The sequence below is a fragment of the Homo sapiens genome, chromosome 7 (genome assembly GCF_000001405.40).
Source record: "Homo sapiens chromosome 7, GRCh38.p14 Primary Assembly".
Taxonomy (NCBI): domain Eukaryota; kingdom Metazoa; phylum Chordata; class Mammalia; order Primates; family Hominidae; genus Homo; species Homo sapiens.
The window spans coordinates 10,628,854-10,640,937 of record NC_000007.14 but is presented as its reverse complement, the minus strand read 5'-3'; the positions used below and the strand labels follow the sequence as shown (position 1 = coordinate 10,640,937).

At 37.1% G+C, this 12,084-nt stretch overlaps 3 long non-coding RNA genes across 3 annotated transcripts in view; 2 read left to right on the top strand and 1 right to left on the bottom strand.

Annotated features, from left to right (window-relative positions):
* Window positions 1–594, bottom strand: part of LOC107986766 (uncharacterized) — a 35,048-nt gene extending 34,454 nt beyond the window's left edge. Inside the window, exon 1 of the long non-coding RNA XR_001745090.2 lies at window positions 429–594. This is a non-coding gene — a long non-coding RNA (uncharacterized LOC107986766). The remainder of the gene's footprint in view (window positions 1–428) is intronic.
* Window positions 1–12,084, top strand: part of MGC4859 (uncharacterized LOC79150) — a 330,125-nt gene that overhangs the window by 139,007 nt on the left and 179,034 nt on the right. The gene's annotated exons all lie outside the window — the stretch shown is intronic.
* LOC124901588 (uncharacterized) lies at window positions 2,686–3,976 on the top strand. Its single transcript, XR_007060209.1, has 2 exons — window positions 2,686–3,096; window positions 3,832–3,976. It is a non-coding gene; the product is annotated as an uncharacterized LOC124901588 (long non-coding RNA).

Below are 12,084 nucleotides of genomic sequence, written 5' to 3'. Positions count from 1 at the left end.
TTTCTGTAGTAAGAAAGAAAATGAATAACAATTTCTACCTTCCCCTTAGATGGGGGAATAACTCCTTTTTCTCCCAAACGTAAACTTAAAGTAAAATCGTATGAGCTGGAGATTTCTGAACTGAAGGTGGTGCCCAGCGTGAAACTACCTGCTGCTTCAAGCAGTGCCCGGCAGCAAAGGTTTTTATTGTGTCACCCTCAGCAGCTACTCCCAGTACCAACTAGCAGCTGTTCCTTCAGTAGTGACCCTGGTGGAAAACAGTCCTTTTAGCAGTGGCTTCAGCTTCCAGTAGTTTTTTCATTTGGCAAGAGTGAATTCAACCAGCAGCTCTGCTCTGATAGAGGTTTCTGATCTTTCATGTGTGAGACAATTTAGGGTAATGAGAGTGATTCCTTTTGCATGTTCCTTAATATTCCTGTGGTACTTACATGTTAAGATCACTTAACAGCTCCCTCCGCCACCAGGCTGTGTGCTGCTTCAGTCTTTGGGAACGTGGCTGTTCCAGGGAGGGGAAAGTGAAGGAATCTAGGGCAGTATTTGGGTGGCCCAAAATTATCTAGAGTTTGTGTTTGTGTCAGTTATCAGGAACTGGGATCTTGCTTTGTTTGTGACTTCATCACTTACCTTCCCACTTACCTGTCCTAGCACATAGATGATGACACCTTGTTCTAGTTCCTTGACCCGCTCCTCATTCTCAAGTTGAGAATGCTTGTCCCCAGTGAAATGCTCCTGTTTGTCCCCAATGAAATGCTGCTGTTCTACCTTGCTTTTGCCCTTCTTGCAGGGTGAAGACTTCTTTCTCTCATGCTCCAAAGACACAGAGAGTTCCAGTAAGTGGATTCAGGCCTTTCCTTTAGGCCCTAAGTCCTGCTTCTGAACACTTACCCCAAAGACAGACAAAGGGAGGAGTCTTGCCAAGACTTCTAGGCAGTGTTAAACTGACTGTGGTTTTTGGAGCCTTGATTCCAATACAATCCACCAGGTCTGCTTTATGTTCGTGTAACCATCAGACAGACCTCCTAGAAAGAGAGAGCGTATTATCTTGAAGATACATTCTAGTCTCCATGTTTCCTAAACAGAAAATATCTGGAAGCTTTGTTTCACAGTTAACTCTCAAGGTAATGTATGTTTTTCTATTCTCTCCGTCCCCTTCCTTCTCTGAAGTCTAAGCAATGAAATAGTTTTCTCTGAGCCTGGGATCTGGGAGGCATTCTGTTCTTGGAGAATAACGAGGAGGAGAATATCATTCACTTCAAATGATGATTGGCTCTTGTTAAGAGCACACTATCACATTTAACTCTTTCCTTAATGTATGGAAAAACTGAGTGCCAGGGAGTTTCTAAACTCTGGCATACATGGATTTGGAAAAACCTTCAATTTTTCTTTATATATCTCTTTTTTAAGATATTCTGGGTCAAAATGCCAATTAAATTCCTTGAGAAAACTTCCCAAAGGTAAATATGCAAATTTACCCTAATTATGGCCATTCATTGCATATGAATATGCCCTTTCTTGTAACAGAATTGGTTTCTGTTATTAGATATTTCCATGTATTAAGTATTTATCATTACTTTGATAAATTAACGTGATGCTAGATTACTGACCCTTTCTTTTACAATTTTTTTCCAGACTTAACAGTGGGAAGCCTACATAATCTGCTTTTAGCCATGTTTGGTTGAAAAAAAGTTTTAGTTATATCCTAGCTGTTAGTGTTGAAAATATTCATTGAAGAAATGTTAGAAACATTAACAAGTAAATAAGATGAAAGATGAATAGCTAAAAGATTATATATGTAGTAATTAAAAATTTAACAATAATCATGACAGTGAAGGTGTGGCATCCAAGGATGATAGTTTTACATACTTCAGGGATATTTTGGGAGGGTCAGCAAAGCAAAAATCCATGCCAGAAATTAATACCCTAGTGAAAGTCATAAAAATATATAAAAGTTATTAATAATCAGTGAAAAGGGCATGGGTTGTTTGATAAAATAGGAATTTGTGTTTCAACTTTTATTTCTTACACTTCACTATATCTGTGACTTCAGGAAATTTACTTATGTTACTGATTTCTCACCTTTCCTGTTTTATTAAATGGATCCAATAATGATAATATTTATGTCACAAGTTATTGTGAAGCAAAATATATGAAAGTGCCTTATAAATTGTAAAGCATTGTATAGATGCCAGTTTTATTTATTTATGCATTCATTTCATTATTTGCAAAGCAGTGCTGTAAGCAGGGTGGAGACTACAATAGTGTGCTGAACACAAGGGACAGAAGTCCCTGACATAAAAGAGCTGCATTTTATTTCAAAGCCAGAACTTTAAGGCTGACTTCTTTCTCTGTATTAAATCCACTGGAGTTTATTTATAACTTAGCTTCATCTAAGCTTGAGGAAAGGTTTAAAGGTTGAAGGTATTTGTGTTTATTTAGTCAAATTCTGTGTCACAAAAAGCTTCCACAATGTTTACTCTTAAGATTATTTGGATGATGTACATAAAGGGAACAAGGATTGGCTTTGGGGTATTTATAAATTAAGATAGTGAAGCCACTGAGAAGTTCTCAGTAGAACTATCTGTTTCTTTGCTTCTGGATATACACTGTACACATATATGACTGCTTTAAAAAAGTGTTATCTTGAAAAACAGACTTCGTATGACAGTCGAGGTCTCTCAAATTCTTTAAGATTTGATTAAAAATCTGTCTCCTTGAAGACATCACTTTGGCTGTAACTGAGAAACAACTATGATGTCATAGTTGGGTAGACTGTATCAGCAATGGTGCATTAATATTTCTGGTCCCACATGCTCTTTCTGTTACTCGTCCTTCAAGAGATAGAGTCAATTTCCATTTCCTTCAACTGAGAAGGGCCTTTGTGACTGCCTTGATGAACAGAATGAGGTGAAATTGAGGCTACACATGATTTCCAAGGTTAGGTCATAAAATAAGACAGCTCCTGCCTGCCTCTGTTCCTCTTGGGACATTCATCTTGTAAGAAGTCTAGCTACCCTTAATTCAGCATGCTGGAGAGACCCTGTGGAGAGGGCTCACAGGAATAGATGTCTCAGGAGCCTCAGCTGTGACAGTTCCCAGGTATTTGAGTTCTCCCTGAACACTGGGTTTTTGGATGGTGATATGGTTTGGATGTTTGTCCCTTTCAAATCTCATGTTGAAATGTTATCTCCATTGTTGGAGGTGAGGCCTGGTGGGAGGTGTTTGGGTTATGGGGGCAGATCCCTCATGTCTTGGTGCTATCCTCACAAAACAGTGAGTTCCCTCATGATCTGACTGTTTAAGAGTGTGTGGCACCTCCCCTCCCCTCTTGCTCCCAGTCTTGCCATGTGAGATGCCTACTTCCTCTTCACCTTCTGCCATAATTGTAAGCCTCCTGAGACCTCAACAGAAGCAGATGCCAGCACCATGCTTCTTGTATAGCCTGAAGAACTATGAGCTAATTAAAACCTCCTTTCTTTATAAATTGCTCAGCCTCAGGTATTTTTAAAAATTTTTTTTGAGACAGAGTCTCACTCTGTCACCCAGGCTGGAGTACAGTGGTGCAATCTTGATTCACTGCAACCTCCACATCCTGGGTTCAAACGATTCTCCTGCCTCAGCCTTCTGAGTAGCTGGGACTACAAGAGTGTACCACCTGTAGTGCACCACCTCCTGGCTAATTTTTGTATTTTTAGTAGAGACCGGGTTTCACCATGTTGGTCAGGCTGGTCTCAAACTCCTGACCTCAAGTGATCCACCTGCTTCTGCCTCCCAAAGTGTTGGGATTACAGGCATGACCCACCACGCCCAGCCAGGTATTTTTTTTTTTTATAGCAATGCAAGAACCGCCTAATACAGATGATTACAACATCCTGCCTTCAGATGCCCTGGCTGTTGCTGATAGACCAGAGACAAGCCATCCCTGCTGAGCACTACCCTTATTCCAACTTCATAAGTAAATAAATTTTGCTACTTTGGAGTGGCTGGTTTGAAACCATAGACATCCAGAACACATAGTAGCCCAACTGACCATTTGCTTATGTATTTAGATTGAGGCACTATTGATATAAGCTCTGTAGCTTTTATCTGTTTTTATTGTTTTCATTAACTTTATATAACCACTAGATAATAAATGCCTTGAGGACCTCTTTGCGTTGGATCTACTCTATATAAATCTTTTGCATGGGATACACTGCTATGTCTATGTTGAAACTAGTGGCATTTTTTGATATATGGGGTTATCCATTATGCTTCTTTATGTCTAGTTTATCCCGTTTATGTGGATTGAACCTCTTGTCTCATTGATTATGTGGAAGCTTTGATGGATTATTTTATTAATTAGGGAGATTTGGGCTGCAAGTAGCAAAAATACAACTGAAAGTGGCTAAGCAAAAAGACATGTAATATCTCATGTAATAAGACGCTTAGGGGCAGCATGCCTGCAGATTTTAGCACTGTCAACCTTGGCATGTTTGCTACATTTTAGGCTTGCCTCCTTAGGGTCACAAAAGGTCTCTTGGTCTTCTTGGAACCACATTTAGACTGGAAAACATCCAGTTAAAGAAGAATGGCTTTCCTCCTGTTCACTCCTCTTATTTTTGCAGAGGCCCACAGCAGGCTTGCCTTCAAGGGCCATTAGTTAGCATGAGTCAAATGATCTTGGAAGTGCCTTGAATAATCAAGCAATGCCACCAGAGATCTCCAGGATCCTATTAGATACTATTTTATATCATAGAAATGGTATCTGAAAAGTTGGGGATCTTATGAAGAAAATATTAGATTGCATCAAATTTAGTCATCTTTAGTGTTAGGGAAAACATTTGCACAGTATAAGAGCAAAAATGCAACATATAATTATGTAATAAATGTGTACAGAGATTCTGCAGACTTTGAGTCACTGAGACCTACTACTCCCTTAGTTTTAAAATTCTTCTCTTAGATTATAAAGGTAATTCAGAATACTCTAGCAAGGCTTGTGAAAAAAAAATCCAGTTAGTGATCCAGGTAACTTCTATGTTTTACATTTTTATTTATTTAATTTTAATTTTTTTATTGAGAGAGGGTCTCACTCTGTCACCCAGGCTGGAGTGCAGTGGTGCAACCTGCCTTCCAAGTTCAAGTGATTTTCATACCTCAGCCTCCCGAGTAGCTGTGATTACAGGTGTGTGCCACTATGCCTGGCTAATTTTTGTATTTTTCGTAGAGATGGGGTTTTGCCATATTGTCCAGGATGGTCTCGAACTCCTGGCTTCAAGTGAGCTGCCCATGTCAGCCTCCCAAAGTGTTGGGATTACAGACATTAGCCACAACACCCAGGCTAAAATCTATGTTATTTAAACAATTGCAACTGAGAGGGAAATTATTCCTTAAAATTGCCTGTTATGACATAAATATTACCTTAATAGTTAAGTGCCTTTCAACCTTGAGAAGACTGAGAATTCAGTGATTTCTAGTGTTTGAATGTATCCCCCAAAAAGCATGTGCTGGAAACTTAATCTTCAATGTAACAGTGTTGGGATGTGGGGCCTAATGGGAGGTGTTTAGATCATGATAGTGCCACCCTCATGAATGGATTAATGCCAATTATGAGAGGGCTTGAGGCTGTGAGTTTGATCTCTTGCCTTCACATGTTCTTGCCCTTCTGTCTTCTCCTGTGGGATGATATAGCATTAAGGTCCACACAAGATACTGGTACCTTGATATAGGACTTTCCAGCCTCAGGAACTATAAGATATAAATTTATTTTCTTTATAAATCACCCAGTCTGTGATATTCTGTTATAGCAACATGAAGCTGGCTAAGACAGTGATAAAAAGTTTAAGATAATCTAACCATCATGTTAACAGCATATTTGATGGTTTATATAATAATTCTTATGGAATTCGTTTCTGTAGAGTTACAAGTCAGCTTTGTTATTCCCCTTAAAATATAAAATAGTTATCAATTTTGGCTTGTGTTTTATGATAAAATCTTAATAGGTTTATAGACAATGTTGAAACATTCATGAGAATGTATGATTAATCCTGCTAATAAGTTTAATTTATTAAATATAAAGCTGTTTTAGAACTCAAGTTTTATAAGTAAAATAATTTAAATATTTTAAATTTTGAATACACTTAATTTATAAATACAGTTTGAAGTATTTAAAGTTGTTTAAGTTTGTAAGTGATGCCAAGCATTAATCAAAGGACCTTTAAAACCAATTATTAAAACATGCTAGGTTATTAGTAGAATTATCATAAACTCTATAACCTGAAAGTTTAAAGAGAACTGTTTTTTTATATATGTGATTTTAATAAAATGAATTTTAATTTTTTAAATAAAAGTAAATGTACAAATAGATTTTCTTTTCTGGACACAAAAATGCCCTTATGCTCACCAAGAAATTCGTATTTAACAGCAAGGACTTATTTACAAGTTCATTCCTAACCGGTCACTGCAAATGTAATGTGTCCACAATGATTAATTTAGACCTATTATTTCACCACAGGGACCTGAGGAGGGGCCTCCCTTAATCTCCTGGTATCCTAGCTCATGTTAACAAAATCAGCCCATCCATCATACACAGAACTTCACATGATGTTTGCTAAAAAATAAAGAACTCTTTTAACAAAGACATTCATAATTTTTATTTCCTGGGAGGAATACTGCCATCTCTTTGTAAATCTACAATATTTTTACTCTTCTAGACAAATGCAACCCCTTGATAATTTCTGCACGCTTGAGTGGATAAATACTATGACTTTCAAATTTGTTTTATACGTATCCTTTCAAATAGCTGTTTTGAAGTTTCTTTATTTATATCTTAAAGGTTTCTTTTCCCCAACCTGCTGAACATCCTGAGGTTTCATCTTCCCTACCTGATTGTCACAAGGATACTGCTTCCCTTCTGACCACATGAAACTTATGAAAGGTGCCTTGGGAATATGTCAGTATAAAAGACAGGCTATAATTGGGATACCTTCAGGAACTGGGGTGTGGGTGTTCTCAGTCCTTGTCCGGTGAACTCTTTCCCTCTTCTTTTCTGAAATGTGTTTCTTATGAACAGCAAAGTCTTACTTCTAAATTCTGAGTCTGTCGTCTAATTGCAACACAATTAAATTCAGAGTTCTGCTGGAAAGAAATAAAGGAGGGTGTGGGGAAGATGATGGCTGGTTAGGTAGCCACAGTGTCTGCCATAATCTTTCAAATGGATAAAACTTTGATCTTCTGACACTGTTCCTTTGGCTGCAAGTATATAAGATATTGATGATATCCTTTGATTAATATAAATGGTTGAGGTGGTTAAATTTCTGTTTCCTTACAGAGGTGCTAAATGATGTTTTATAATAAACACATATGTTTTAAGAATAAAGCTCTTGAGACATTTAATTATTTTAATGGGGGAACTAGGCCAGACAGTCCATTCCAGGGAACAGAGATGCTCAAGTATTTATTAGTAGAAACACTCAGATATGATGAATGTGAAATATATTAAAAAGAAACACAGAATGGCAAGAGTTTAACAGTCTCAATTAATGATGTAATTAGGCTAGAATAATCTATTTCCTTTGGATTATCCAATCATTAATCTAATAAATTTTTTTCTTGAATGCCTGCATCTACAAAGCACAAAAAGATCATAGTTAACAATTTTATGATCTAGGTGGGACACAATCTGTGAACTTGAAAAGATAATTAACAATATGATATTGAATTTGATCATTGGCAGATAAGCTGTCTAGGCACATGATGTATAGGAATTTGGGGGGAGAAAAACAGTTTCAGCTGAAGTGATATGGGATGGCTTACAATCTAAACCTCTTTTCTGAGATCTTGGTCATTTGGATCTGGCAGTTGTTTAACCACTGGCTCAAACTTCTGTCTAACAGTCAACCCAGTCACTTAAACAATACACGTTTAATTATCACTCATGCATGTAGTGCTTGGTTTCCATTTGAGCTTTTACAGGAGATCACAGGCTTAGAAGACAGCCTTAGCTTGAATACAATCTCATGAGAAATCTTGAGCCAGAGGCACCCAGCTAAGCCACACCCAGATTCCTGATACAGCATAACTGTAAGATAATGCCTGTTTGTTGTTTTAAGTTGCTAAGTTTTGGGGTAACTGGTTTTATTGTAATTTACAACAAATGCAGGAGTTTATTCAAATGATACTGTTAATTTGAGATTGAGTGTATTCATAGGCTTGAAATTATATGCCTTGAGGGGATAGTTGAAGCCTTCATAATGTGAATATATACATATATATTATGACTGAGCCACAGGGATACTCTATTTAAGGTGAAATCTAAGGAAAAGTGAAGTTTCAAGAAGGATATAGTAAACAATGCCAAGTAATAAGAATAAATCAAAAGTAATTAAAAAATTATTTTTTCCTTCAAAATTTCCAAATAATACATTTATGGGGATTACTCTGGCAACTGAACAAGCAATTCTCTAATCAATTACCATGCATAGTTTCATTAAAAAATATTAGCAAACTAACATGGATGTAAATATTACTTTCATGACAAACTTGCATAATTCATATAATTTAGATTGCTAGTTCCATTAAACTATATTAGTGATATAAAACAAAAAAAAACATGGTGAAGATTATAGATTTATTGAAATCTTGTAGTGGTATTATTCACCAAGTGCCAGAAGATATGACCTAATGTGTGTTTTGTGAAAATAAGTCACTTTATTCTATTTTACTTTTTTTTTAACTTTTATTTTAGGTCCTGAGGTACATTTGCATGTTTGTTATATAGGTAAATTGTGTGTCACAGGGGTTTGGTGTACAGATTATTTCATCACTTGGGTGATAAGCATAGTACTCGATAGATAGTTTTTAGATCCTCCCCTTCCTGTCATCCTCCACCCTGAGGAAGGCCCCAGTGTCTGTTCTTCCCTTCTTTGTGTCCATGTATTCTCAATATTTAACTCCCCCTTTTAAATAAGAACATGTGATATTTGGTTTTCTGTTCCTGTGTTAGTTCACTTAGACAGCTCTATGCAGGTTGCTACAAAGGACACGGTTTCATTCTTTTTTATGGCTGCTTAGTATTCCATAGTGTATATGTACCACATTTTCTTTCTTTTTTTTTCGTTTCTTAATTCATTTAAAAATAATTTTTTAATTATACTTTAAGTTCTGGGATACATGTGCAGAATGTGCAGGTTTGTTACATAGGTATATATGAGCCATGGTGGTTTGCTGCACCTATCAACCCATCATCTACATTAGGTATTTCTCTTAATGCTATCCCTCCCCTTGCCCCCCATGCCCAAACAGGCCCCAGTGTGTGATGTTCCCTTCCCTGTGCCTGTATGTTCTCATTGTTCAACTCCCACTTATGAATGAGAACATGCAGTGTTTGGTTTTCTGTTCCTGTGTTAATTTGCTGAGAATGATGGTTTCCAGCTTCATCTATGTCCCTGCAAAGGACATGAACTCATTCTTTTTTATGGCTGCATAGTATTCCATGGTGTATATGTGCCACATTTGCTTTATCCAGCCTATCATTGATGGGCATTTGGGTTGGTTCCAAGTCTTTGCTATTGTGAATAGTGCCGCAATAAACATACGTGTGCATGTGTCTTTATAGTAGAATGATTGATAATTCTTTGGGTATATGCCCAGTAAATGGATTGCTGGGTCAAATGATATTTCCTGTTCTAGATCCTTGAGGAATCACCACACTGTCTTCCACAATGGTTGAACTAATTTATATTCCCACCAACAGTGTAAAAGCATTCCTGTTTCTCCACACCCTCTCCAGCGTCTATTGTTTCCTGAATTTTTAATGGTTGCCATTCTAACTGGCGTGAGATGATATCTCATTGTGGTTTCGATTTGCATTTTTCAAATGACCAGTGATGATGAGCTTTTTTTCAATGTGTTTATTGGCTGCATAAATGTCTTCTTTTGAGAAATATCTGTTCATATCCTTTGCCCACTTTTTGTTGGGTTTGTTTGTTTTTTTCTTGTAAATTTGTTTACATTCCTTGTAGGTCCTGGATATTATCCCTTTGTCAGCTGGATAGGTTGCAAAAATTGTCTCCCATTCTGTCAGTTGCTTATTTAGTCTGTTGATAGTTTCTTTTGCTGTGCAGAAGCTCCTTAGTTTGATTAGATCCCATTTGTCACTTTTGGCTTTTGTTGCCATTGCTTTTGGTGTTTTAGTCACGAAGTCTTTGTCCATGCCTATGTCCTAAATGGTATTGCCTAGGTTTTCTTCTGGGGTTTTTATGGTTTTAGGTCCTACATTTAAGTCTTTAGTCCATCTTGAGTTAATTTTTGTATAAGGTATAAGGAAGGGGTCCAGTTTCAGTTTTCTGCATATGGCTAGCCAGTTTTCCCAACACCATTCATTAAATAGGGAATACTTTCCCCATTGCTTGTTTTTGTCAGGTTTGTCAAAGATCAGATGTTTGTAGGTGTGTGGTATTATTTCTGAGGCCTCTGTTCTGTTCCATTGGTCTATATATCTGTTTTGGTAGCAGTGCCATGCTGTTTTGGTTACTGTAGTCTTGTAGCATAGTTTGAAGTCAGGTAGCATGATGCCTCCATCTTTGTTCTTTTTGCTTAGGATTGTCTTGGCTATATGGGCTCTTTTTTTGGTTCCATATGAAATTTAAAGTAATTTTTGCTAATTCTGTGAAGAAAGTCAATGGTAGCTTGACAGGAATAGCATTGAATCTGTAAATTACTTTGGGCAGTATGGCCATTTTCATGATACTGATTCTTCCTATCCATGAGCATGGAATGTTTTTCCGTTTGTTTGTGTCCTCTCTTATTTCCTTGAGCAGTGGTTTGTAGTTCTCCTTGAAGAGGTCCTTCATGTCCCTTTAAGTTGTATTCCTGGATATTTTGTTCTCTTTGTAGCAATTGTGAATGGGAGTTCAGTCTTGATTTGGCTCTCTGTTTGTCTATTATTGGTGTATAGGAATGCTTGTGATTTTGGCACACTGATTTTGTATCCTGAGACTTTGCTGAAGTTGCTTATCAGCTTAAGGAGATTTAGGGCTGAATCAATGGGGTTTTCTAAATATACAATTATGTCCTCTGGCAACAGAGACAATTTGACTTCCTCTCTTCCTATTTGAATACACTTTATTTCTTTCTCTTGCCTTATTGCCCTGGCCAGAACTTCCAATACTATGTTGAGTAGGAGTGGTGAGAGAGGGCATCCTTGTCTTGTGCAGCTTTTCAAAGGGAACGCTTCCAGCTTTTGCCCATTCAGTATGATATTGGCTGTGGGTTTGTCATAAATAGCTCTTATTATTTTGAGATGCGTTTCATCAATACCTAGTTTATTGAGAGTTTTTAGCATGAAGCAGTGTTGAATTTTGTTGAAGGCCTTTTCTGCATCTATTGAGATAATCATGTCGTTTTTATTATTGGTTCTGTTTATGTGATGGATTATGTTTATTGATTTGCGTATGTTGAACCAGCCTTGCATCCCAGGGATGAAGCCAACTTGATCATTTTGGATAAGCTTTTTAATGTGCTGCTGGATTTGGTTTTCCAGTATTATTTTCAGGATTTGCATATCAATGTTTATCAGATATTGTCCTGAAATTTTCTTTTTCTGTTGTGTCTCTGCCAGGTTTTGGTATCAGGATGATGCTGGCCTCATAAAATGAATTAGGGAGGAGTCCCTCTTTTTCTATTGTTTGGAATAGTTTCAGAAAGAATGATACCAGCTCCTGTTTGTACCTCTGGTAGAAATCCCCTGTGAATCTGTCAGGTCCTGGGCTTTTTTGGTTGGTAGGCGATTTTCAGAACTTCTCATTGGTCTATTCAGGGATTCAACTTCTTTCTGGTTTAGTCTTGGGAGGGTGTATGTGTTGAGGAATGTATCTATTTCTTCTAGAATTTCTAGTTTATTTGTGTAGAGGTATTTATAGTATCCCTCATGGTAGTTTTTATTTCTGTGGGATCAGTGGTGATATCCCCTTTATCATTTTTTATTGTGTCTATTTGATTCTTCTCTCTTTTCTTTTTTGTAAGTCTGGCTAGTGGTCTATTTTGTTAATCTTTTCAAAAAACCAGCTCCTGGACTCATTGCTTTTTTGAAGGGTTTTTTCTGTCTCTATC